The 27,693-nt window shown below is 40.7% G+C and overlaps 1 protein-coding gene across 3 annotated transcripts; it reads left to right on the forward strand.

Moving 5' to 3' along the window:
* C5orf47 (chromosome 5 open reading frame 47) lies at positions 7,315-27,693 on the forward strand. 3 transcript variants are annotated; one of them, XM_017009028.2, is made up of 5 exons: positions 7,315-7,733; positions 16,298-16,383; positions 17,845-17,944; positions 19,341-19,376; positions 24,988-27,693. In XM_017009028.2, exons 1-4 carry the CDS (start codon positions 7,409-7,411, stop codon positions 19,358-19,360), a joined length of 531 nt encoding a protein of 176 aa, XP_016864517.1. In that variant the 5' UTR covers positions 7,315-7,408; the 3' UTR covers positions 19,361-19,376; positions 24,988-27,693. The 3 variants fall into 3 exon arrangements, with proteins under 3 accessions (XP_016864517.1, NP_001138426.1, XP_011532733.1); NM_001144954.2 differs by lacking the exon at positions 24,988-27,693 and adding an exon at positions 22,416-24,285; XM_011534431.2 differs by lacking the exons at positions 17,845-17,944; positions 24,988-27,693 and adding an exon at positions 22,416-24,285.

Raw genomic sequence — 27,693 nt, forward strand, 5'->3', positions numbered from 1 at the left:
GACTACAAGCCTCTCCACTAAGAAAACAAGCAGGGCTTTGAGGCTTTGCCCTTCTCTGCTTGCTGCAGCTTCTGTGCTCACATCTGCACTTCCCATTTGCCCTCCTCCTCCCTGCTTGATTCTGCCCTGGAAAATTCATGCTTGGTCAAAATTATGACAAAGTTCAGCTGGATGTTTCCTTCTCCCTGTGGTCCTTCCCCAATTCCACTGGCAGCCCTCCCCAAGGACCCCATGAGAGAAAGTCAGAAATGGCTTCTCGGGGAACCAGGAGTACCTTGAGGGCTCTTTCTGCTGCTTCTTCTACTTTCATATTTTGCTCAGGTCCCTAAATTCATTCCAGCTCTAGGTAAGGTTATATCCTTTTCCTGCGATCTCGATTTTCAGGTTTCCCAGTGAGGATGTGTGTTTAGAGGTGGACTGCCTCCCTCTCACACGTTGGGCACTCACAGTTTTTCGGCCGTCTCACAGTTTGCAGCAGCAAGCCGCTTCTTTTGAATTCTCTGTTTTCCTGGTATGTTCCTGCAGTAGTTCTTGGAGCAAAAGTTCGTGATGTGAGTCTCCACATGCTGCTCTGTTCATCTGAGTGGGAGCTGCAAGTTAGTCCTGCCTGCTACTTGCCATTTTTTCCCCAGTAGGTCTTATTCTATGTGTTCCATAATAGTATTGACAATAACTCTGATTAACATATTCTAGAAAATATTCTGAAGCAATTCTGAATAAGAAAACTTAGCAAAATGGAAATGGAAATTCCAGCAGTGGAAAATATAACTGAAATTAAGAACTTAGGCTAGGCGTGGTGGCTCACACCTGTAATCCCAGCACTTTGGGAGGCAAAAGCAGGAGACTACTTGAGCCTAGGAGTTCAAACCTAGCAACAAAGTGAAACCCTGTTTCTACAAAAAATCAAAAATTAAGCCAGGTATGGTGGCACGTGCCTATGGTCCCACTACACAGGAGGCAGGGGTTGGAGGGTTACTTCAGTCCAGGAGTTCGAGGCTGCAGTGAGCCATGATCATGCCAGCCTAGGCGACAGACAAGACCCTGTCTCAAAAACAAAACAAAACAAAACTACTTAATAGAGGGTTTAATAGTAGGTTAGATAGTGCTGAAGAGAGGATTAGTGAACTGGTATATAAATCAGTAGAAAATAATCAGACAGAAGCATTAAGAGAAAGAAGTGTGGAAACTACAGAAGAGCAGAAGAGATCTATGGAGCAGAGTAAAAAGATTTAACATATGTGTAGTGGAGTCTCAGAAAAGAAGACAAAGAATGGAACAGAGGCAATAGCCAAAGAAATAATGTCCTAGAATTTACCAAAGCTGACAAGTGCTATCAAGTTGCACATTCAAGAAGCACCAATAAGCCCAAACAGAGTAGAGACAAAAACCCCACACCTAGGCACTTCATGGTGAAACTGTTGAAAAGCAATGAAAAAAGAAAATCTGAAAAACATGCAGAGGAAAAAAGACACATTACTTTGTAAAGGGCAGTAATATGACTAATAGCTGACTTCTCAAAAGCAATATCAGAAACAAGAAGACAATAGAATATCTTCAAAGTGCTGAAAAAAAATAGTTGGCGACATGAATTCAATACCCAGCAGAAATATATATATACAGTTTAAAATGAATGAAATGGAAAAAAGATGAATGAACAGCAATGGAAAGAGTAAATATATTAGTAAACCTAAATGAAGCCTGACTGTATAAAACATAGTAATACTGATGTCTCATGATGCTTAGAATATACTATAAAATTACCAAAAACTCTATATGTGCTTACATAAAACATAGGGAGGAAGAAAAGTTGAGAGTCAAGTCACCAAAATGGCAGAGTAGAAGCAATCTGGCCTCCCTCTCCCCCACAGAAAACTAAAACCAATATCAGTGCAAAGGTTATCACCAGCAATATCCTAGAACTCAAATATGAAGCAGAAATGATCCCCAAGGCCTCAGAGAAGTAAAAAGCCTCCAATTGGAGGGTAAGAGAAATGGACTTCTTTATCCTTGATGATCGTGCCCCAAGCTGCCAGTCACCACACAGAAAACTGCCCTTAGAATCATTTTTGCTGTTTTCTTTTTCAGAATTTCTTCAGAATATTTTGTAGAATATGTTGATGAGAGTTATTGTCAATATTATTATAGGACACATAAAAAAAGACCTACTGGGGGAAAATGGCAGATAGAAGGCAGGACTAATTTGCAGCTCCCACTCAGACGAAGAGAACAGCATGTGGAGACTCACATCATGAACTTTTGCTCCACTGGTGACAGTGAGGTGGATGCCAGCTTTCCCATTATCCTGGGTTCCTGCATCAACCTATAGGAAGCGTTGTGAGTGCCTGAAGGGAGAAAAACCCCTGAGGGCAGCTTGAGACTAAGAAGGGAGGATGGCAGTTCAGTGGCTCTCCAGCAGCACCACGCTATGGGAGGCATGCTCCACAGGTCCCTGGGTACGACCCCCTACCAGCCTTCCCACATGGCTAGGGTGTTTCATTTGGGACCTCACCACCCTCCATCCAAGTCTGGCAGCACTACTGTTTGTGAAAGTGAGGCAAACCTGGGCTTAAGAGGCCATCTAGTGTGGAAAAGGAGGCAGTGTCCTAGTGGAAACAGCATTCAACAGGTGGACTGCAAAGAATCTAAGCAAACATACCCTAGAAAGACAAAAACAAGCTGGATGTGAAGACTGGAAAATATAACCTTTCATGCAAAGATATGGACGCACATCCACAAGAAACAACAGCAAACCGGGAACCATGACCTTCTCAGATAGACAAAGCAAAGTGCCAGTTACCAATCCTAATGAGACAGTGATGTGTTTCTGTGAGGTATTTTTTTTTCTTAGTGAGATTAACATTTAAGCTAGTAGACTCGGAGTAAAGTAGATAACCCTCCAAAATATAAGTGAGCCTTATCCAATCATTTGAAGGCCTGTGTATTAGTCCATTCTCATACTGCTCATACAGATATATCCAAGACTGGGTAATTTATAAAAGAAAGAGGTTTAATTGACTCACCGTTTGGCATGGCTGGAGAGGCCTCAGGAAACTTACAATCATGGTGGAAGTGGAAACAAACATGTCCTTCTTCACATGACAGCAGCAAAGAGAAGTGCTGAGCAAAAGGGGGAAAAGCTTCTGATAAAACCATCAGATCTTGTGAGAACTCACTCACTATCATGAGAAAAGCAGCATGGGGATAACTGCCCCCACAATTCAGTTACTTCCCACTGGGTCTCTCCCACAACATGTGGGGATCATGGGAACTACAATTCAAGACGAGACTGGGTGGGGACACAGCCAAACCATATCAGCCTGGAAGAAAAGACTGGGCTCACTTGAAGAGGGGGGAATTCTGCCAGCAGAGGACCTTTAGACTGGAACTGCAGCATCAACAACTCTTCCCTAGATCTCTTAGCTTGCTGGTGTACCTTGTAGTTTCTCTCTCTCTCTCACGCCACAGTCTTTTGTTTCTGCTTCTCTGGAAAACCCTAATATACATATCCATGAGAACAGCTAACATGAAGATGACAATGCCAAGTGGAGGTGAACAAGTGGAGCAAGTGGAATCCTCATACTTGGCTGGAGGAGTGTAAATTGGTACAACCATTTTGGATACCTGTTTGTCAGCAGCACCTAAAGCTGAACGTATGAACACCCTAAGCAACTCCACACTAACATATATAGCCTATAACCTGTTTCCACAAAGGGTATGTATGAGATTCTTCTTAGTCCCACTAATAATGAACCAAACTGGAAACAACTAAATGTCCATCAATAAGTGGAAAGGATAAAAATAAATGGTGACATATTCAAATGATACACAAACTTCTACAGTTGTTAACTAACCAAGTTCATTCTACCCTCAGGCAGCAAGCCAATCACTGAGGTGATGCGTTTTGCAAGGGAGAAAAGATGTTATTCACAAGGCTGCTGTGTGAGAAGACGGGAGAACAAACCTGAAATCCACCTCCCCAAATATAGGGCTTGAAGGTATGTAAGGAATAGAAAGCAAGGTGGTTTAAAGTGTGGGGAAAGATGATCGGTAGGGAGGAAAGGTGAGGTAATTGGGGTTTCTGTGCAAGTGTGATCAAGCTACATCGTTCTTCACGCACATGCAGAAAATGGCTGCATTGGCATGATCTGAGGGTGAGGTTTTTGGGCCTCTGACTTCACAAGGTCATTCTCTGGGCATCTGTGGAGGCCCAGTTGAAGGGTTGGTGGTCTTAACCAATTGGAAATTACCAAGAGCTGCCTTCCAGTTCCTGAAAAACCTTTAAGCACCCATTACTGTAGTGACCAACATCCAGAGACATTATCTCTAAGGAAGCTTGTGGGAGTTTAGTTATGTATTGTTTGGCTACATGACTTGCTAGCGGGGTTTTTTTTTTTTCTTTCTCACCCATGGACTCAGGTCATAGCTAGCATTAGTTTTTGCTGTTGTTGTTGTTCTTTTTTAAGACGGAGTCTTGCTCTGTCACGCAGGCTGGAGTGCAGTGGCGCGATCTCGGCTCACTGCAACTTCTGCCTCCTGGGTTTAAGCAATTCCCCCGCCTTGGCCTTCCGAGTAGCTTGGATTACAGGTGCCCACCACCACGCCGGCTAATTTTTGTATTTTTAGTAGAGACGGGGTTTCACCACGTTGGCCAGGCTGATCTTGAACTCCTGGCCTCAAGTGATCTGCCCGCCTCGTTTTAAGAACAACCAGAAGTAAGCAATGTAAAGCAAGCAAGGCAGGTTAAGCTTGGTGAGTTTACTCAGGTTAGCTCTTGGTTTCACAATAACATGCATCTCACTGATACAACTTGAGTGAAAGAAGTAAATTAGGCCCGGGCGCGGTGGCTCATGCCTGTAATCCTAGCACTTTGGGAGGCTAAGGCAGGCAGATCACAAGGTCAGGAGATCGAGACCATCCTGGCTATCATGATGAAACCCTGTCTCTACTAAAAAATACAAAAAATTAGCTGGGCGAGGTGGTGGACGCCTGTAGTCCCAGCTACCAGGAAGGCTGAAGCAGGAGAATGGTGTGAACCTGGGAGGCGGAGCTTGCAGTGAGCCGAGATCGCGCCACTGCACTCCAGCCTGGGAGACAGAGCAAGACTCCGTCTCAAAAAAAAAAAAGAAGTAAATTAAATAAATTAAATGGACAAACCTAACTGATGACTTTTTTTTTTTTTTTTTTTTTTTTTTGGAGAAAGGGTCTTGCTCCATTGCCCAGGGGGAGTGCAGTGGTGTGATCAGGGCTCATTGCAGCCTTGACCTCCACAGCTGAAGCGATCCTCTCTCCTCGGCCTCCCAAAGTACTGGTATTACAGGCACCTGGCCATTGATGACATCTGAAATCAAAAAAACAGGAAAAGGATGGTGATTGGGTGAGGTCATGAGGTGCTTCTGCAGTGCACCATTTCTTAACCTTGGTGGATCTTACACAAGTATATTCACTGTGTAAAAATTCAGCCATCTACATAGTGATGATTTGTGCAGGTTTCTGCATATAATTTAATAACAAGTGTTTAAGAAAGTATGTCTCTGTCACTGCCTATTACTTTGGGGAAGTAACTTCACATTTTGGAGCCCCAGTTCCTCTGCCATAAAATGCTACATGAATTTAAAGAGATGGTCGGGTTGGGCGCAGTGGCTCACGCCTCTAATCTCAGCATTTTGGGAGGCCAAGGCTGGCAGATTGCTTGAGCCCAGGAGGTCAAGACCAGCTTGACCAACATAGCAAAACCTTCTTTCTACTAAAAATGCAAAAATTAGCCAGGCCAAAAATTAGCTGGGCGTGGTGGTGCACGCCTGCAGTCTCCGGAGGTTGAGGCAAGCGAATCGCTTAAACCTGGGAGGCAGAAATTGCAGTCAGCTGAGATTGCATCACTGGACTCCAGCCCTGGAGAAAGAGCAAGACTGACAAAAGAAAAAAAAAAAAGGGTTAGTGGAAACCTATTTGTAAAGTTTCAATGTAAAGAAATTACAATGTGCACCTCACAGTTTACGTCCTGAATGGATAACTATCTCTCACTGTGTGCCAGATGCTGAATATATGCCTTATTTTGATTTATCCTCACAACTCAGTTCTCCTGAGTTAACATTTGAAGACAATGGAGGCTCAGAGAAGGAAAGGGGCTGGGTGTGGTGGCTCACGCCTGTAATCCCAGCACTTTGGGAGGCTGGCGGATCACCTGAGGTTAGGAATTCAAGACCAGCCTGGCCAACATGGTGAAACCTGGCCTCTACTAAAAATACAAAAATAAGCGGGGTGTGGTGGCACATCCTCGTAATCCCAGCTACTCAGGAGGCTGAGGCAGGAGAATCGCTTGAATCTGGGTCGTGGAGGTTACAGTGAGCCGAGATCGCACCATTGCACTCCAGCCTGAGTGACAGAGCGAGACTCCGTCTCAAAAAAAAGAAAGAAAAAGAGAGAGAGAGGGAAAAGGGCTTGCCCAAATAACCCAGCTGGCCAGTGCCTAACCAGCTTGGGCCTCAGACCCCTGTCCCCCTACCCCTGTGTCTCTTGGGGATCACAGCTCCATCACTACCACCTGCCAGGCCAAGGGCATACTGGAACCTTCCGGCAGCCAAGGGCTCTGTGTTCTCCCCCAGGCTCCCAGCGTCACGTGGCTGATGCTCCAGGCTGCTCAAGTCCCGTGTGGGTTCCTCACTCTGAAATCCTCCCGCACCCAAGCATGGGGGCGTCTCCCTAGTAGTGACCTGGTCCCTTTCTCCCACCCTCTTCTTGGAGTAGCTCATTTCTTCTGAGGGGTCTGCACCTCGTCATCGTCCCCAACCCAACACCCGCCCTCTTCCCACTTCCCTCCATCTCCCCTGGGCCTCTCACCTCCCAGCAGCGTGCCCTTCCCCTACTCCTGCAGCCCACGCAGTGACCGGCTGCCTCGCTCCTCAAGCCCAGCTTTCTCCCTCCAGCCCCCCAGCAGTGGTCTGGCCCTAACTTCCCTGCCCCACCCTGCATGGTGGTCCCCGCCACCCCCACGTGGTGATCCGGCCTTAACCCCGTCACCCCATCCCTACTGGGTGGTCCTGCCCTAACCCCACCACCCCCATCCCTGCGAGGTGGTCCGGCCGTAACCCCCTCCCCCCATCCCCACGCGGTGGTCTGGCCCTAACCCTGTCACCGCATCCCTAGGGGGGTGGTCCGGCCCTAAACCCGTCCCCCTCATCGCGGTGCCATGGTCCGGCCCTAACCCTTTGTCCCCCCCATCCCCACAGGGTGGTCTGGTCCTAACCCCCCCCAATCCTCACGCGGTGGTCTGGCCCTAACTCCCTCCCCCCAATCCCCGCAGGGTGGTCTGGCCCTAACCGCTCCCGCATCCCTCGCCTGCACAGTGGGCAGTCTGGCGCCTGTGGCGTCGTGTTTGCTGAGGGCCCGGCTGCCGTTGACTGAGGCTGCGATGGCGGCGGCAGGCCGGGGTCGGGAGCAGGACTCGGCGCGCTTCGTCTATGTGACGCGCTTCGGCTCGCATCAGTGCAGTGGCGTCCTGCAACTGGGCGGCCGTGGAGCTCAAGGCCTTTGGGGTCAGGGGCCTGGGGCAGGCTGTCGCCAGGAGAAGCCGAGGGAAGCAATGGCGGTGGCGGGCGTTCAGGGTGGCAGCGAGCTGCCCCTCGGTTCCCAGCTCAGGGTCCCCACGACCCCTGGTGTGGAGGCTGCGGCCTCTGCCTCCTCCCAGCTGCGGGCATCGAGAGTTCAGAGCGGCACCAGACAGTCGGCGCGTGCAGGTGGTGCAGCGGGGCAGGGCGGGACCGGGCGCGGCGGGGCGGGACGGGGCGGAGCGGGCTCAGCTGCTGGGCGCCATCTTGCGGCACGCAGGAGGCTGGGGGCAGCTTTCCTGTCAGGCCGTGTTGCGAGCACGCGCAGGGGCGAAGGAGAAGCCCAGTAATTCCCTTCAGAGGGCCAGCTGTGGCCGGCACGGGCACCTGACATAAGAGGAGAGGTTGTTGAATGGAGCCTTTACGGCCCCCTCACGGAGGCTTTTGGCCTGCGTGTTTCCGTTCCAGCTGAGTGAGATTCGTTGACTTCGCAAACCCCCTCACCTGGAGGATTGACTTCCGGATGCTGTTGAGTCATCCTGGCTAAAAACAGCATGAGCTTTACGTTTAAATCAGGAAATGTCTTCAATTCAAAAATTATCCTCCCATAGGTTTTGCATATGTCTTGATCAACTTATTCCTAAATATTTAATCTTCTTTGCTGTTGTAAATGGGGTTTCTTTTTACGAAATGCCCTCTAAATGCTCACTGTGTATAGGAAGCCAATTTTTTTTTTTTTTTTTTGAGACGGGGTATTGCTGTGTCACTCAGGCTGGAGTGTGGTGGTCCAATCACAGGCTCACTGCAGCCTTGACCGCAGCCTTGACCTCAGCCTCCCGAGTAGCTGGGACCACAGGTGGGCACCTCCATGCCCAGCTACTTTTTTTATCTTTTGTAGACATGGGGGGCGGGGGGGTCTCCCTGTGTTACCCAGGCTGGTCTCGAACTCCTGGGCCCAACTGATCCTCCTGCCTCAGCCTCACAGCCCTGGGATTACATGCATGAGCCACTGGGCCAAGCCTTTCTTGGTTTTTCTTTTTCTTTCTTTTTTTTGAGATGGAGTCTTGCCCTGTTGCCCAGACTAGAGTGCAATGACGTGATCTTGGGTCACTGCAACCTACGCTCCCCTGGTTCAAGCGATTCTCCTGCCTCAGCCTCCCAGGTAGCTGAGATTACAGGCACCTGCCACCAATGCCCAGCTAATTTTTTTCTATTTTTAGTAGGGATGGGGTTTCACCATGTTGACCAGGTTGATCTCGAAATCTTGACCTCAGGTGATCCACCCGCCTCAGCCTCCCAAAGTGTTGGGATTACAGGCGTGAGCCACCGCGCCAGGCCCTCTCTTGGTTTTTCTAAGTCAGCTTTACTGAGGATTAATTTACGTATGTTTCGAAGAGGTTTGACAGATTTATACACACCCTAGTAACTGCCACCATAATTAAGATATAGAACATTTCCATCACTTGTACTTACGGAATAACAGCTTTATTAAACTATAGTTCACAGTGCATACAATTCACCCGTTTTGCATGCTTAGTTCACATATTCAACCATCACCATTTTAGAATATTTTTAACCCCAAGAGAACCCCTGTATCCGTTAAACATTGCTCACCATTCTCCCTATTTGCCCTCCTTTACGCATAAGCCCAGCCCTAACCAAGTACTAATCTGTTTTCTGTCTCCATAGATTTAACCATTTTGGACATTTCGTATATGTTGAATCATAGAGTATGTGGGCTTTTGTGACTGGCTTTTTTCACTTAGCCTATTGGTTTTTGTTTACTCACTGGATACTTTTATTATTAGTTTTATCCTTGATTCTCATGATTTTCCAGGTATCAATATATATTATTTGTAAAGAGATATAATTTTATTTTTTTTCACCCATTTGCCTGCAATAGATTTATTTTGTCTAATTGCATTTGCTGATACCTCAAGGGCAATGTTGGATAGTATTGGAGATAGCGGGCATCTTAGCCTTGTTCCTGACCATAGGGGAAATGCCTATAGTGTTTCCCCATTAAATCAGGTACTGGCTATGTGACTAAGGATTATATATTTCAAATATTACAAAGTATCCCTCCATACTTATTTTTTCAGTGTTTGTTTTTTTTTTTTTATCATGAATGGGTGTTGATTTTTGTCAGAGGGTTTCTCAGGTCTATGGAGATACTCTTTTTCTTTAGATTTGTTTATTAATATGGAATGTAATATAAATGGATTTCCAATTATTGTACCAACCTTGCATTCCTGAAGTAAATTCTACTTGGTTTTGGTGTGTAATTTTCCTAATACAGTGTTGGATTCTGCTAATAATTTGTTTATAATTTTTGTATCAGTATTCAGGAGAGATAGTGATCTTTAGTTTTTCTTTGTACTCCTTTATCTGGTTTAGGTATCAGAGCTGTGTTTACTTCATAAAAGGAATTAGGAATTTTTCCTTTTCTATGCTCTTGGATAATTTATAGAATGTTGGGATTATCTTGTCTTTGAAGCTTAGGTAGAATTCTTCTGTAACTATTAGAACCTAGTGCTTTTTGAGGGATAATTCCTTAATAACCTTCTCTATGTTTTCTATGGAGATTGATCTTTGTAGGCTTCCTAACTCTAATAGGTCAATTTTAGTAATCTGTATTTCCTTAAGGAATTATCTGTCTCATCTGGGTTTCCAAATTCGTTTGCATAGATGTCTGCAAAGTAGTGTCTTATGATGTTTAAACATTTTCTTGCGTTTTAATGGTTATTTCCCTCTTGTCATTTCTTTTCCTATATATATGTGCACTCTGTCTTTTTCTTGATCAAGTTAGCCAACATTTTGACTATTTTGTTAATTTTTTTTTTTTTTTTTACTAAGCTAAGATTTGGGCCCGATACAGTGCCTCACACCTCTAAGTTTACCACTTTGGGAGGCTGAGACGGGAGGATTGCTTAAGGCCAGCAGTTCAAGGCTGCAGTGAGCTATGATATGGCCTTCAGCCTGGAGAGACAGAGTGAGAACCTGTCTCTAAAAAGGAAAAATCAAGGTTTTGATTTATTCGTTAGATATTTTGTTTCTCTAGTCTCTTCCTCATTAATTTCTGCTTTTAATATTATTATTTCTTGTGCTTTCTTTTGGTTTACTTTGTTCTTCTTATACTTTTTTGTGAGCAGGGAATTTAATTCATTTATTTTTATTATTGTTATTAAGTGTTTAGTGCAGTGAATTTTCTTCTAACCACTACTTTAAATACATCCCATAGATTCCAATATGTAGTGTTTTCGTTGTCACTATTTTTAGAAGAAATTCTGTAATTTTTAACTCTTTTCCATATAGTTGCTTAATAGATTTAAAATTTAAGTTTTCAGCGCATTTCTAATTTTTATTTTTAATTTTTGCTAGTAAACTCTAGGTTTATTGTGATCAGAGAGTATTGTTTGTGATGCCTTCATTTTATGGATGTTACTGGTATTTTCTTTGTGACCTAATTTATCATCCTTTTTGTTCTTTTCACCTCAGAAACCATGCCATTGAAAGACTGCTCCTTTAAATCATGCTTGCCCCTTTAAACTGAGTCTGTCCATTATATTGCATGCTTGGCATTCTGTGTTGTGTCTGTCTCTTTAAATTTCTCCCCTATAGTCTGTACTCTGATTTGCCTAGTTATTTATTTATTTATTTTTTTTACTATTTTCAGATTTAGAATGCATTTAATCTTAATGTTGGTCACGTCAGCTCTTTTGAGGCATTTTTGTAGTATTTCTAGTTTCTCTTCCCTGCTGGCCAGAGCCCCTGTAGGTCTAGGGCATATGGGATCATAGAGCAGCAATTTAATGTTTTTTTCTCATTTTACTTACAGTTGTTTTGCAGCTTCAGCATCCTTTGTCTTAAAGTGATGCTGAGGGTGTGGTTTTTGCTTGCTATTGTCTTAAGCTACCCAGAAGCCCTGCTTTAAAAGATTTTGAATAAGAAAAGTGATAGGAGCCAGGCGCGGTGGCTCATGCCTGTAATCCCAACACTTTGGGAGGCCAAGGTGGGCAGATCACGAGATCAGGAGTTTGAGACCAGCCTGGCCAACATGGTGAAACCCCATCTTTGCCAAAAATACAAAAATTAGCTGGGTGTGGTGGTGCGCGCCTGCTGTAATCCCAGCTACTGGGGAGGCTGAGTCAGGAGAATGGCTTGAACCCAGGAGGCGGAGGTTGCAGTGAGCTGAGATCGTGCCACTGCACTCCAGCCTGGGTGACAAGCAAGACTTTGTCTCAAAAAGAAAAGAAAAAAGAAAAGTGATAGGGTCAGATTTATTGACCGTGCTGTACAGGGGAGATTGACTTAGAGGCAGGTTAGACTGAAAAAAAAATCTCAAGTTGAAAAATATATAAATATTTTGTTTACTATTCTTTCAAAACCAAATTTACTTTGATAATTTATTAAGTTGGTGCAAAAGTAATTGTGGTTTTGGACCTTGAGTTTTAAGTCATTTTAACTAGGCTCAAGCACATCTTTATTAATCAAAATAGGAACCATTACAATAAACACATTTTTGCCAACAAGAAATAAGTTTGTTTATTCCTGTAGTATAAAAGTCCACGCTTTGGGATTTGACGAACACTTGGGAAGTATTTTCTGTGTTCTGCAGGTTGTGGAAGCGTTTTCCTTGCAAAAAGTTGTCCAGATACCTGAAGAAGTGGTAGTTGGTTGGCAAGAGGTCAGGTGAATGTGGTGGATGAGGCAAAACTTTGTGGCCCAATTTGTGCAACTTTTGAAGCGTTGGTTGTGCAGTGCATGGTCTGTCGTCGTCGTGGAGAATGCAGACCTTACTGTTGACCAATGCTGGCTGCAGGCGTTGCAGTTTTCGGTGCATCTCATCGATTTGCAGAGCATACTTCTCAGATGTAATGGTTTCACTGGGATTCAGAAAACTATAGTGGATCTGACTGGCAGCAGACCACCAAACAGTGACCATGAGCTTTTTTTGGTGCAAGTTAGGCTTTGGGAAGTGTTTTGGAGCTTCTTCTCAGTCCAGCCGCTCCCACCTCCTAGTTCTCCTTCCTCTGGATCTGAACTTGTTAACTCTGCCACAAAGGAGTTGGTGGGTGGGAGAGATTGGAGGCCAGAGAACAGTTACAAGACAGTTACAGTAGTCCAGTGGAAAGAGTGAAGGCCTGAACTAAGGCAGTGGCAGCGGAGGCAGAATGGACAGGATCACATAGCTTACTGAAAGAGAGAAGGAAGAATTGCGGCCAAGTCTGAAGTCTCTGTGCTGGGCAACTGGATGGATAATGGAGCCACTAACGTTAGTGACCACGCTGCTGTGCTTGCGAAGCCAAGGTTATAGTCAAGGGAAGGGGGTCCTGGGGTAGACTTATGTTTAAACCAAGCCAGAAAGTGCTTAAGTGCTTAGGTTTTACTCAGTCTTGGGTGTACTTAATGTTTGTTTTTGTTTTTGTTTTGAGACAGTGTCTCGCACTGTCTCCCAGGATGGAGTGCAGTGGTGTGATCTCGGCTCACTGCAACCTCTGCCTCCCAGGTTCAAGTGATTCTCCTGCCTCAGCCTCCCAAGTAGCTGGGACCACAGGCGTGTGCCACCATGCCTGGCTGATTTTGTATTTTTAGTAGAGATGGGATTTCAACATGTAGGCCAGGCTGGTCTTGAACTCCTGAGCTCAGGTGATCCACCTACCTTGGCCTCCCAAAGTGCTGGGATTACAGGCGTGAACCACCACACCCAGCCCTTAATGTTAATATTAAGTAGACATTCATTAAATGTGTCACCCCCTATAGGGAAAAAGATGAATTTATTCATTCAGTAACATTTATTTAAAACCTATCGTGTGAGCACTAGGTCAGATGTTAGTGACACAGATGTATCAGACAAGTAGTCTGCTCTCGAGGGACTTATTAATTAATGAATAATGGAAATATAAACTAGTAGATATGAGTGTTGTAAGAGTGAGCTGAGAATAGCTTTGATAGTCAAGTTCAAGGAAAGAAGAGGCACAGATGCAGAAAATCAGGGAACATGAATAGAGAAGTCACTAGTGGGACAGTAGAGGTTATGAAGAGCATTGGCTTTGAAGTCAGAAAGACATAATCCGTGGTTCTGTCATTCATCAGCAGGATCATATTGGCCAAGTTAGTTAACCACTATTATTCTCAGTGTCCTTATCTGTAAAATGGGGGTAATGGTTCCTACCTTAAAGGTTTGCTGTGAAGGTTAAATTAAGTAATACATGCAGAGTGCCTAGCACAGTGTTCGGCATAGAATAAGTGCCCAGTAAATGCTGGCACATTGAACAGAGATGACTTGAAGGGAAGATGGTGATTAGCATGTCTAGCACACAGTGGACATGTGCTATTTATTGAATGAATGAAAAGTAAGTTTTGGACCACATTATGGAATACCTTGCAGACTGTTATTTTTATAGTCACTGAAGATTTTTGAATGGTGGGGTGGAGTAAAGTTATCAGAGACAGGTGCACTTCTGGAAGATAAACTTGTAAGCTGTTTGGAAATGTACTGAAGTTTAGAGATTCAGGAGTAGGCAAATCAGCAACTCTTCTAACATTTCAAATAAGACTAATAAATCAGGCCAGTTCCCTGTCCTTACAGAACTTGAAAGCTACATTTATGATTTGTATGTAATGGAAGATGATGAATGCTATTGTGGAAGTACAAATGAATGTTTTGGAAGTGGTGAATAATTTGGGGAATGAGAGAATCAGGGAAGGCTTTATGATAGTGGAAGCTCCATGAGATTTACACATGGGGCTGAGATAGGAGAATTAGGTGGGGAAAACATGTGAACAAAGCACCGAGTATGGATCAGTGATGACAGTGATTAGGAAGAACGACTGGGTCAGAGTGGGTGGAAAGAGGACTAGAGAAAGATTTGAAACATAAGTCAGGACAAAATCCATGAAATACACTGGAGCTAGTCTCAGTACAATACACAAAATGAGTGGAAGAAATATGTCTTTTTTCTTTTTCACGTCTTCTGTACTTGTATTTTAGATCCCCAAGTAATTACGGGTAGACTTGATGACTCCTGTGTTTTCTCAAGGAGTATAGGTCTATGTTGGTAAGACTTACAAACAAGAAACATTTGGGAATGATGCAAATATAGTATTCCAAAGGTTGTAGGCATTTAGAGGGAAGGATAAATATGGGTTTATGAAGAGCAGAGTTTCCCAAACTTAAATTATTTTCCTATGCCATATCTGCATATCATCTGTACTATTATTAATATATTTATTTAAATAGGCACATTTTCCCTTTTAACTAAATTTCTTTTTAGAACACTTTAAATTATTACTTCAGTGGAAAACTGTACCATTTGCTATAAATAGAAATTAATTAGAAACAAATATAATAAAGGCAAAACAATATTATTAAATTCTAGCTAAGTAGGTTGTCTGCTGAGAGTTGTCTGTGGTCACGAAGGGAGACGACCAAGTCTTAGAGAAGTCTTAATAACATACTGGTACCAAACTTAGATTTTCTCCCAAATGTAATCAGAATATTGAAAAAAACTGGAGAGAGAATGAGTTTCTCACCATATGAGTTAATATTCCTTAGTGCTATGTCTGTATGTCTGTGACCTGCTCCAAATCAGTGGCATGTTTCTCACAAATTGCAAAATGCCATTTTAGAGCATATTCTAGTTTATTCAACAAATGGAATACTTATTGTATAGCTGATATCTATAGAATTGGATACTGGATCTCTAGTGAATAATAAAACACACTCCTCAAGTAAACAGTGTGATAAATCCTATGATACCTGAGCAGAGGGTGCTTTGTCAGATCAGAGAAGGCTCCCTGGAAAGCTAAGTATTGAAAGAGTAGAAGAAAGTGAGAGATAGAGTGGTGGTAGGGCAGGAACAAGGTGGGGAAGGGTTGAGGTGAGGGAATATTCTAGACAAAATGAGAGCCAATATAAAGGCTTTCAGGGAACACACGCTCATTATTTTATAATTTTGTCTTTGGAAAAACAAACCCTTGGGTTTTCTTCTAACAGTTAACATTTGAGAAGGCAGCATGGTTTAGTGAGTATTCAGGAAGCCCGTTCACTCTGGATAACCCTTATTAGTACTACTATGTGTGTGGTAGTGTGAGTGGAAAGATGACTAAGACACACATGGCCATTGCCCTCCAGGAGGTCAGAGCCTAGTGGAGGAAACACATGATAAAAAGATAGGCTGAGTGCTATGAAGAAGGTGTTCTCAGATCCATGCTGTGTGTTGAGCTGCGTGTGTTTGAGGGAAGGCTGTAGAGAAGAGGTACGTGTGAGCTGAGTCTTGAAGAACAGGTAGAAATTTGCCTGGGAGGGTGTGTGTGTGTGTGTGTGCTGAAAGTGTTAGAAATTAGATACATTTGAGGTACCACAAGGTATTGTGTAGTTGGAAGTGTAATGTCTGTCTGGAGTTGCACTGAGAAGAATGGAGACTGTAGAGATACACTGGGGCAAGATGTGTTATCTGGTATTTGTTCATTCTGTTGTTGGTCTTTTTGGGACTAGCCTTACAAACCAGAAAAGGAAGACTGAACTAGCTGGATGGTTTTCTGGGTACTTGCCAGATTATGTCTAGTTTTCTTGGTTGTTTTCAACATGTTATTAGTGAACTGGTAAACCAGTATTACCTGGTGATCAGAAATATACCAACAAGTATAAAAATCCCCAAGGAGACCTCAAGAAACATTTATATGGTCTCTATTTTCAGATAGTAAATCCTTATATATGTTGACCTTTTCACTTTCTTCTTAAAAATTAGGTTTAATCCAGAAGGATGCAGCTAAAAAGTATGATTTTCCCATACCATTGAATGAAGCTTCCAAAATAATGAAGAAAAAGAAAAAGGTATATTGCTGTAAAGGAGAATGAGCAATATTTGAATTTTAGATCATCCTCTCTAAATACAAATGTGTAAAGATATTCAAGACAGTGAAAATAGTACCATCTTTTGAATAATTTAATTTTCTGAAATGAGAAATAGAAGTAATTCAGAAGAAATGGAACTGGGTTTGGAAATATTTATTAACCATAAAGAATTGTCCTTCCAGTGTTATACCAGTGAAGGTATAAAACACATTTTAATCAAAGTGTAACCCCACTGGAGGATTTTTCAAAGCATGATATATGTTCCACAGAATATAATAAACTGTGATAGATAATGTAGTATAAGAAGAAAAATCACAGATTTCATAGAAAAGAATAATGTATCTATATTGGTCTTTTTAAAGACAAGGAATATGTAATAGGTTTCTAGCAGGCAATCTGAGAAGGATGAGCCACTGCTGCTGAGCTGTTCTCGCTGCTAGTTGTCCAAATGTCATGGTAACTTGAGTGTTTTGAACATATTCAAGACCGGATGCTCTGCAAGTCTTTGATTACCACTGTATGTTTATATTTCACAGCATCGTTTATATTCAGTTTAAAGAAATTATTGGTTGATAGTGACACATAACATTGTGTTGTTTCTGAGCTTTGAGTTTGTTTGATATCCGTGTATGGTATAAAATAGCATTAGAGGTTAATAACTCTTGCACCAAATATATTTTGAGTGAGCATCTAATTTTCCCACTGTACTAAGAGATGTTTCTTCTGAGAACCAGTTCCTTTTAGGTGAGGAGAAAAGAGCAATAATCAATACTTCCTTTTAATTACTGTGTGCCAGATACTAGGGTAAGTGCTTTACATATGTATTAAATATTTTTTCCTTAATTCTTATAATCCAATGTATGAAGTTATTCCTAGATGAGATTAAAATACTCTCCCAGGCAACTGGAAAATGGCAAAGCTAGAATTTGAGCCTAGATCTATTTGTTTGATTCTATAATCCTTGTTCTTTCGATTCCAGTATATTTATGTTCTCTAGTACTATTGCTTTGGTATGTCCTAGGAGAAATACTTAATTCTTAACTGGAATAAAATATGTTTAAAAAATCAAATCATTGCCCAATGGTTTAATCATTGGAATATAAATTCACAATTTTTTAAAATTAGCTTTCAGAATGGAATGTGTTAGAATTGATTAGGTAGGACTTTATAGTCATTGCCTTTGAAAGGCAATTTCATCCAGGACAGTTAATTTAAATACTACAGGGAGGAAATTCTAGGAATTTTGAAAAAGAGAACAGATATTTCAGTGATCGTGGGTAAACAATTACACTTAGGTTTTAGTTCTCTAAATGCTAATATAGCCTTATAATGATGATATCAATTGACATACAACACAGTTGAGGCATTCCCAGTTGCCTCCATGAAAATATATTCCTACTTTTCTGCTCAGCATTCCTTTACTGTGCTTATCTTTTTAAGGTTTTAGTATGGAATAGAGTATACAAAGTCATTTCAAGAATGCTTGAAGAAAATGAAAAATATAGACACAGGCTGAAATGCCAAAGGTTATCTAGTGAAAGTAAGTTAACACAATTTTTATTGTATTAAAAAGACTGGCCTCTGTAACAGTTTAGTTATCCTGGGATTGCATGAGATCAGTAGTTTTCTTAATTGTCACATTCAATATACAGAACTATAGAAATGAGGCTACCATATTATCACTATTCATCATAATTAGAAGTACAGAGCACCTGCAAGCAGTGAGCACAGAGAGCACAGGTATAGGAGTGAGTGGAGGAATGTAGAAGGTGTGTGTTGACTGGAATTTACTGAGCAAAGGGAACATACTTTTCTGTTAAATGTGAATCTTAATGCCAATTAAAAAATACAAGTTACGAAGCTCATCGGTATTGATGAAGAAAAACATTTTAACTGCAATATAAAATTATACATTGTGTCACTTCATGTAGTCATTTCCTCTCCATGGAAGCTACATTCCTACTTAATGCATTTAACAAAGATCTACCCTTGAGTTATAGCCTTGATGTCATTATTTCATTCCTGGAAAACAACTCATGAATTAAACCGTGCTCTAAAGCACTATTGAGTTGATATTGTGGTCAGAGCGAAATTAGATGTAGTCTGGTGTGTTTATCAAAATAATTTGTAGTTCTGGATTTTAAAAAAATTAAGTTGGATAAAATTTATGTAACTAATAATGCAATGTGAATTGATAAATCACAAGTTATTTTCTTTCCTTAACGTGCATTTCTTTCTTTAACATGTCTTTCTTTCCTGCACATGCTATCATGAATGTTTCTGTGAGTTCTTAGTACGGTCATTCTATGGCAACTTCTATTTCATAGTCAGTAAAATTGCAGTATTTAATTTCATGAAGAATATTTTCATAAGATAATCATGAAAACAGAATGCCATTTTGCAAGCAGTGGAAACTTATGGTTCATATAATATTGCATCAGTGGTAGCATGAATTGTTTGCAATAATGGCATATTAGTGATAATGTGTTTCACTTTGCTTATCCATTTAAGAAGGAGAATGAGGTGGGGGGTGGATAGGAAAAAGAAGTCAGAGGTATCTTAAATGAAAAGGATGTTTGAATAGGCAGAGCAGTGTGCAAAAAACCTGGACATACTTCTGAGTGCTAATTCAGATCACTGCATAACTTTGAACTTGTTGGGTTCTTTTCTGCCTCAGCAAGAGGCCTTCTCTTAAATGTAATCTTGTAAGGATTATTTAACAACTTAATATGCTGTGTTTTCCATAAATAGCCTCTGGTAAACCAGTTCATTATTTTACATTACAGTGTTAAACTACATTACAGAACTTCTTTATAAAACTAATAATTATGTTTAAAAATGTATTATAACTTGTATTCCATAATGTATATTTATTAATGGGAAAACCAGTGCTAGAGGCCAACTTAAATTTTCCTTATTTTTTATGTTGTTTGCAGGCTCAAATTACACAAGATGAATCTTCTTATCTTCTGGTAAGAATTTATTTACGTAATAATTATGGAATATAGATTTTATTCCCTTCCCTTCTGTATCCTCCCTTCTCCAAACATTAGTGTATAACCAATCATTGCTAATTCCAGCCTATTTCCTTTCTTAAATACAGTGTTTGGCACATAGTAGGCACTCATTATAATACTTACTGACCTTTAAAACTTCATTTGGGCCCCATGTCCATCATGCTATTAGAAATTCTCTCTCTGTACTCCATGTTTTTCCTTCTTCTTCTTTTTCTTTCTTTTTTTCTATCGTACCCTCTGAGGGTACAATATGGTACATTATTCTGAGGGCAGAATCTTCTTCTTTTCGTTTATACCTCTACTTAGTCCTCTTTTCCTTTGAATATACTGTCATATTTAATGCTATCTTACTACTGCTCCTTTTTATGTCTTAGTATCCTGTAGGCTGTGTTATGGCCCTTGTCCTGCCTCACTTACCATATTTACCTTTGCTACCACCTAATAACAAATGCTGTCCTAGGAGTGATTGTTGGTCCCATTCTCTCTTTACATATTCACTCTGAGATAACTCACAGATTTTTATAGCTTCAACTACTCTTCCTGGGTATATTACCCTTAAATCTCATCCTACCCTTGACCTCTGGTTATGTACCTCTGGTTTTCTTTAGGCTGTTCTACTTATTTCTTTTTTTGTCACCTCTACTGAAATCTACATACAGTTATCTTTTTTCTTTTTTTTTTCTTTTTTTTTTTAAAGAGACAGGGTTTTACTCTGTACCCAACCTGGAGTATAGTGACTCAATCGTAGCCCACTGCTGCCTCTAACTCCTGGACTCAAGTGATCCTCCCACTTCAGCATTCCCTCCCAAGTAGATAGGACTACAAGTATGCACCACCATGCCTGGCTAGTTAAATTTTTGTTTTGTATAGGTGGGGGTCTAGCTATGTTGCCCGGGTTGGTCTTGAACTCCTGGCCTCAAGTGATCCTACTGCCTCAGCTTTCCAAAGTGTTGGAATTGCAGCCATGAGTCACTGTGTCCAGCCGAGAGTATATTTTAGACATGAACATGAGCAAATTCATGGAGTCAAGAAAACGATTAGGGAATGTACACTTTGATTAAAAATTCTTTAACACAGTAACCTAAGAAAGGTATAAAAGTATACTGAGATAGTATTTCAAAGAGTCTAACTTGAATTTTGGGCTGAGGATTTGTACTTCATTCAGTAGGGAATGAAGAGATGGAATATTTTCTTAATCTTTTATTCTAAATGATTTCAAATGTACAGAAAGATGATTAGGCTAATACAAAGCACTCCAGTATATTGTTTACTAAGATTTGCTGTTTTTTAACATCTTGCCACGTTTGCTTGCTCATTCTTCTTCTCTCTCTGTGTGTAAATACTTCAGTGTATATAACCTAAGAGCAAGAGTATCTTTTGTATAACCACACTACAGTTATCAAAGTCAGGAAATTGAACATCAATATCAAACATAATTTATAGCCTACATTTCACTTTTTTCCCTATTGCCCCAATAGTGTTTTTAATAGGAATTTTTAAAAAATTTTGGTACTAGATATACAGTTCAGGATCATGTATTGTGTTTAGCTGTTGTGTCTGTTTGGTCTTCCTTAATCTGTAGCAGTTTGTCAGGCTTTGTCTTTTTTGATACTGATATTTTTGAAGAATACAGGCCCGTCATTTTTCAGGCTATTTCTCAAGACTTGCTGATGCCTACTTATGATTTGATTCATGTTATGAATTTTTTGGCTGGAACGTTGTATACGTAATGTAACTTCCCAAAGGATTGCATCTTGAGTTATGTGATCTTCACTGATCCCTTATTGATGATGTTAACTTTGAGCTCTTGGTTAAGTTGTTATCCATTTATAGTTACTATTTTTTCTTTTTTAATTAGTATTTCATAGGAAGATAGAAAGAGTATGCAAATATCTTGTTTCTTTATGAATATATAGAACATTTTAAAGCAGTGGAGCTATCAGATTTGCATTTTAGAAAGAATGTGATGTCATTTGTGGAAAGATTTGGAATGGAGGTGAAATAGGAGGTGAAAAAGAAAATCTGGGGATTGTAATAGCATCCAAGTGAAAAGTAAAATGCACTCAAATGAGGGTTGCAGAGGGTGCAGAGAGGAGATAGATGATCAGGTATGGGGATAAGATGATGCTGAGTTTTGAGAGTGAATAAGAAATAAGGAAGTCAGGAGAAAGGACTCATTTTGTGAAGGTACTGAGTTTTACTTTTGGCATGTTGAATTTTAGGTAATAGTGAGGTACTCAGGAAAAAATGCTAAGCAAGTTATTGGAAGTGTTGTACAGGAGGTAGTGTGATATCTGTAGTGCATAAAGGTCATATGTAGTTCTAACAGTAGATGTAGATGAAGACTTTAATGTGAAGATGGACAGAGGAGAGGACTGAGTACGGAGTATCAGGCAATGTCGAGGATAAAGAGGAATTTTCAGTTTTGGAGTCAGGGATTATAGGGACTTAATCAGGAGTAATGAGAGAGATGATTGTGGGGCTGAGGAGGGAGACATGAAATTCGCAGGAAATCAAGGGATTGGGAGTTCAAAGGAGGGCAGAGACCTTGCTTAGTGAGAGTATAAGGGTATAAAAAGTAGGAGCATAAAAATATGTCATCTAGGAACATTTGAAAAGTTTCAGCACCTAGAGGTAAAGCACAACTTCCAGTGATGACAGTGTCTAGGCAATGGCCTTGGTTGTGAGTAAATGGCCTGGAGGTGAAAGCCTGTGACACAATGTTTCTGTGACACATTTCTTGCAAATGGGACTGTTGAAGTCACCCAAGGGTATTGGCAGGAGTTAGAGTTGAAAAGAAAAATATGAGTTACATATTGAGTCTGTTGGAAACTTTTTATGTTCAACTAGAGAAAGTAAAAGTCATTAAAACAGTAAGTACAGGGAGTTTCTAACTGTTGCTTTATAGCCTTAGAAATGCTAAAAATTTTCAGTGACTACGGATGATGATATTTTATATTAACAAGAACTCAATTTTGTCATTTTTAAATTTAGGAATAACCTATCTTTGGATGTTTCCCAAAGAAGAGTATGAAGAATCTAAAGATGAAACATTAAATGAATCATAATTATTTGTTAATTTTGATGTGTTTTATTAGAATTGGGACTTTAGTAGTCGAACAGAAAAATTACCTTCTTTATAAATTAATAATATTTCTTTGCTACTTAATAATACCTTTAGTTAAATATTGTTAACCATATGCATGCAAGTGTTATTTTCAGAATTAATGCTTATTCTACATACTTTTAAATTAACCTCATACATAAAATTAAATTAGCATATCAATGCAATTGCATGAATTTTATAATTACCAGCTTTTCCATTTTATTAATGAGTCTACAACTGCTGCTTTGTTCATCTCTTCTTTTAGATGTAACTCTTAAATTAAACTTGGATTCATTTAAATTATTTTTGGCTTCCTCTAAACTTCTCAATTATTTTATGGAAAAAACCTTAGAATTTACATAGCAACGATTATTTTGGGTGTTAAAACTAAGCTAATGATTATTTAAGCCATCTTTTCATCCTAAGGAAAATTAGTAAATGTATGCATTTATAATATGGATATATTATAATGGACTATATTATAATATGGAGTATTTTAGGAAAATTTTTGGGCAAAGATCAGAGGAGATGCCCTTTACCTTGCCAGGCCCCTAAGTAATACATTATTTTTAAGTCAATGAATGAGAGGATTAGAATTCTGAAAATCATTTAGAAGTATTGTTTAATAAGTCCTTTTTTTCTACTCAACATTAAGTAGTAATCAACTTTTACCTCCGCCAGTTTTTCTGCTTTTTTGCTGGTACGATCTCTCTTTCTAAATTGAATCAAAGACCTAGGTGGAACTGGAAACTTAGGAGGGAAAGACAAAATGAGGCTTGTTCATGATCAAATTCTGTGTACTCTAGTTGCTTCTTTCCCTTGGAGTGACAGGTACTTTTATATCCAGGATGATTACAGTGATGACATCCATTCTTTTTTGGGGGCATTGAGAAGGTGGGCTTCCTAATTATTTTACAAAGGTATTACAAAGTGTTAATATACAAAATTCTCATGAAATAGTACAAGTTGTAAGGACTGTAAAGTAATTCATAGTTTTGTTTTTTCCTCTAATAGTTGTAACTTAATTACTTCAGGAGACTACGACAGTGTAGAATTTGTGGTAACATGATCTTCTAGTGACTATTTATCAAATCCACCTGTTTCTAGATGAAGGACACATTGCCTGGGGAAATGGCCTCGGTTTTTTTGCCATGTAGGCTCTCAAGTTTCCCTGCATTGAGGGTCACACAACTTCTTTATATTATGCTGGGTAAATTTCAGGCTGCTAAATCCTTGGGTGAAGCTTCAAATTTTAGCTTATGCAACTGAAGTCCATTGCAAAATGAGACATATTTACACTGTTTATACTGTAATTTATGCTGCATAAAGTTTTGTAGTGAATGTGTATGAGAGTTTTAGGTTTGCTTCAATGTATGTTTATATTTATGTGACTTATACAACTTGACATAGTAGTCTGTTTTAATTTATTAGGTATATCAATATTTGTTAGATTTAAAATAAGAGTCTAATGCTGGATACAAACTCAGTTTATTTCACTGTTCTAGAACCATGGAGGAATGAAGACTCCCACTGAAATGAATGTTCTAAATATTTGTTCTAAATCTTTTAATTTTTGTTTAATAATTTCTGGTGAATATGTGTTCAATCTGTTATGTTAAATAGAATATAATAAACATAAGACTTTTCTTTACTGATACATCACTGAACATAAGCTGCAATACTTTAACTTATTTCTGTTCCATAATTTCAGTAGGGGCTAATGACCCACCCCTGCTACATTAAAGACTTCAGACTGCATTGTGGTCCTGCCTTCTCTTCATCTCCAGCCCAAAGTGTCATTTGTCTAGTTTTCATGAGTAGAAACATTCACTCACCAAATCTATATCTGACTCTTTCCTCTGTGTGGATGAAAGGCATTTTATTTTAGCCCAGTAGTCTAATATTTGCAACTTACGGTTTGGGTTCTGCAGTGGTTGTTTCATGCTTAGTTGTGCAGGGAAGGGAGGGAAGAGATCTTCTAGTGGTTTTAATGAAAAATTTTGGTGAGTACAGAATGGTGAAGAAGCGTCAATACTTCAAAATATCATTCAGCCATTTATTCCAGGTCACCTGAAAGGTTTCAGGTAAACGTTCATGAGAAAAAAAACAAACAGTGGAATATTTAAGCATAGGAACTAATTAAATTCAGGGTATTTTTACATCCAATATAAGCTGAGGAAATGTTAAAATTTGGGAAAAGTCTTGGGTAATCTGGGAATCTTATGGGAGTAAACTTATAAAATAGTGAAATAATGGTCTTGAGTTTAGGAGCGGGTCTGTGGGAGTCGGGTGGCTGGACAGCCTGGGAGTAGATGGGGAACAGCACTAGTGCAGCATTTTATTTTAGGGAGAATGCCGAGTTAGGTGGTGGTATGCTGCTGCAGTAGTATTCCAGTTCCTGAGTCATGGACTATACCTATGGCAGCCATGAAAATGTGCTTCTTGGATTTCCCACCACAGGGGCATAATTGACTGATAGCCCAGCTGTGCTGTATTGTGAATTCTACTACATTTGTATGAAGCCATTCTTCCCAACAAGTTGCACCCAAGCCAATGATTAAGCATGGTAAGGATTTTAAGGCAGGTGTGTTTCTCCAAGACAGGCCTCAAAGGTTCTCTGTTTGTCTTTCTGAAAAATTCTTAGAACTGCACCAGAGATAGCCTGAGACTCTCACAGTGGGCCCACTGGGTTTAGAAACCTACTCAATAGCCATCTCCCCAGGCCCTGGGTGTATAATTGGAATTGATATACCTGGCAGTTGGAGTAACTCTTACGTTGGATGCTTGTCTGGTGGAGTAAGAGTTATCACAACGAGGAAGGACAAGTAGAAATGCCTAAAACTGCCTCCTTTCTCCCAGCCAAGATAATAATAATAACAATAGTAATAATAATAATGAGATCACATTCTGTGGAATGGGAGGAGGGTGACAAATTATTGCTACCATTAAAGACCCAAAGGACTGTAGACTACTACAAAGTTAATTGAATAGTAGCTCTGAACACAGCTGCTTTGCTAGACAGTTGCCATTGTTAGAGCAGGAGCATGGTATATAGCAATTGATGTGGCAGATGCATTCTTTTCCATTTGAATCAGAAAAGGTCACACAGTTGTATTCACATGGGGCAGACAGTATTTACTTAAGGTTTTGCCTCAGGGCTATGTTAACTCTCCTACCTTTTTTTTTTTTTTTTGAGACGGAGTCTCGCTCTGATGCTGAGGCTGGAGTGCAGTGATGCGATCTTGGCTCACTGGAACCTCCGCCCCCTAGGTTCAAGTGATTCTCCTGCCTCAGCCTCCTGAGTAGCTGGGACTACAGGTGTGTGCCACCACACTCGGCTAATTTTTTTGTATTTTTAGTAGAGACGGGGTTTCACTGTATTAGCCAGGCTGGTCTCAAACTCTTGAGCTCAGGTGGTCGTCCCACCTTGGCCTCCCAAAGTGCTGGGATTACAGGCATGAGCTACCACGCCCAGTCCTCTCCTACCTTTCATAATAATGTAGTCCAAAGAGATCTGTATTGCTTGTTCATCCCACAGAATTTCACACTGATCATTACATTAATAACTTTATGCTGATCAGCAGAACAAGCAACAGGTGGCTCGTATACTGGAGGCCTTGGTAAAAGATGTGTGTGCTCCCAAGGGTGGAAGATAAATGCTACAAAGATTCAGGGACCTGCCTGGATTTTCAGTGAAGATTTTAGGAGTCCAACGTAGAAAGCTTGAGTGATATTTTTAGGGTTCCAGTGGCCATGGGTATGCTAGGATATCCCTTCCAGAGTGAAAATCACTGCTCAAATCTTGATTCCCTCACCACAAAAACTGAAGCACATGCATGGTAGGCCTCTTTGTATTCCTAGAAGTAATATATTGTTCATCTAGGAATATTGATCCGGCCCATATATTAGGTGACACAGAAGGTTGTTAACTTTGAATGAGACACAGTGCAGGAAAGGGCTCTGCAGTAGTTCCAGGCTGTGGTGTAAGCAGTCCTGCTGCTGGAGTCATATGATCTGGAAGACCTTATGATGTTAGAGATGTCAGTAGTGAGAAAAGATGTAGTATGTTGCTTATGGAAAGCCTAACACGGGCCCTGTAATGGGATTATGGATCAGGGTCATGCTGTCCACAGCATAGAATTAAATGCCTTTTGAAAAACAACTTCTGGGCCAGGAGTGGTGGCTCACGCCTGTAATCCCAGCACTTTGGGAGGCTGAGGCCGGTGGATCACGAGGTCAGGAGATCGAGACCATCTTGGCTAACACGGTGAAACCCCGTCTCTACTAAAAATACAAAAAATTAGCCGGGCTCGGTGGCGGGCGCCTGTAAGTCCCAGCTACTCGGGAGGCTGAGGCAGGAGAATGGCATGAACCCGGGAGGCGGAGCTTGCAGTGAGCCAAGATCGCGCCACTGCACTCTAGCCTGGGTGACTCCATCTCAAAAAAAAAAAAAAAAAAAGAAAGAAAAACAACTTCTGACATGATTCTGGATTCTGGTGGAGACAGATTTATTGGTCTTGAGGCACCAAATGACTGGATCTGGGACTTCACTTTATAAATAGGATTCTATCAGACTTACCAAGTAAAAAAAATTGAGTACTAGCAGTAGACTATCATAAAATGGAAATAGTGCATCTGGACTGAAGACTGAGCAGGACCAGAGAGCACAGGCAAGTTACATGAGCAGGTAGTCTAATCCTCATATCATCCACTTCGGTTGCACTAGCTAGAAATGCCCGCTAGAAAGCCTCCAGTGTCCTAGAGGTTGCCGTGAGCCGAGATTGCACCACTGTACTCCAGCCTGGGTGACAGAGCAAGACTCTATCTTAAAAGAAAAAAAATAATCCTCCAGTGTCCTGGAGAGATACTGGAAATTAAGAAAACGGAATGATGGCCAGATGATTTTGCCATCCTTCATCAGTGGCCACCCAGGAACTCTCGTTTTTCTGTTTTCAGTTTCTTTCATTTCTATTTACTATTTCCTTTCTTGTGTTTGCTTTGGTTTTATTTTACTCCTCTTTTTTATATTCTTGAAACGAATGCTTACATTATTGAGACTTTTCATCTTTTCTACTATATGCATTTGGTGTTATAAGTTTTTCTGTCAACACCGCTTTAGCTGTATCCTACAGATTTTGATATATTGTGTTTTCTCTTTTTTCCTCC

The sequence above is a fragment of the Homo sapiens genome, chromosome 5 (genome assembly GCF_000001405.40).
Source record: "Homo sapiens chromosome 5, GRCh38.p14 Primary Assembly".
Taxonomy (NCBI): Eukaryota; Metazoa; Chordata; class Mammalia; order Primates; family Hominidae; genus Homo; species Homo sapiens.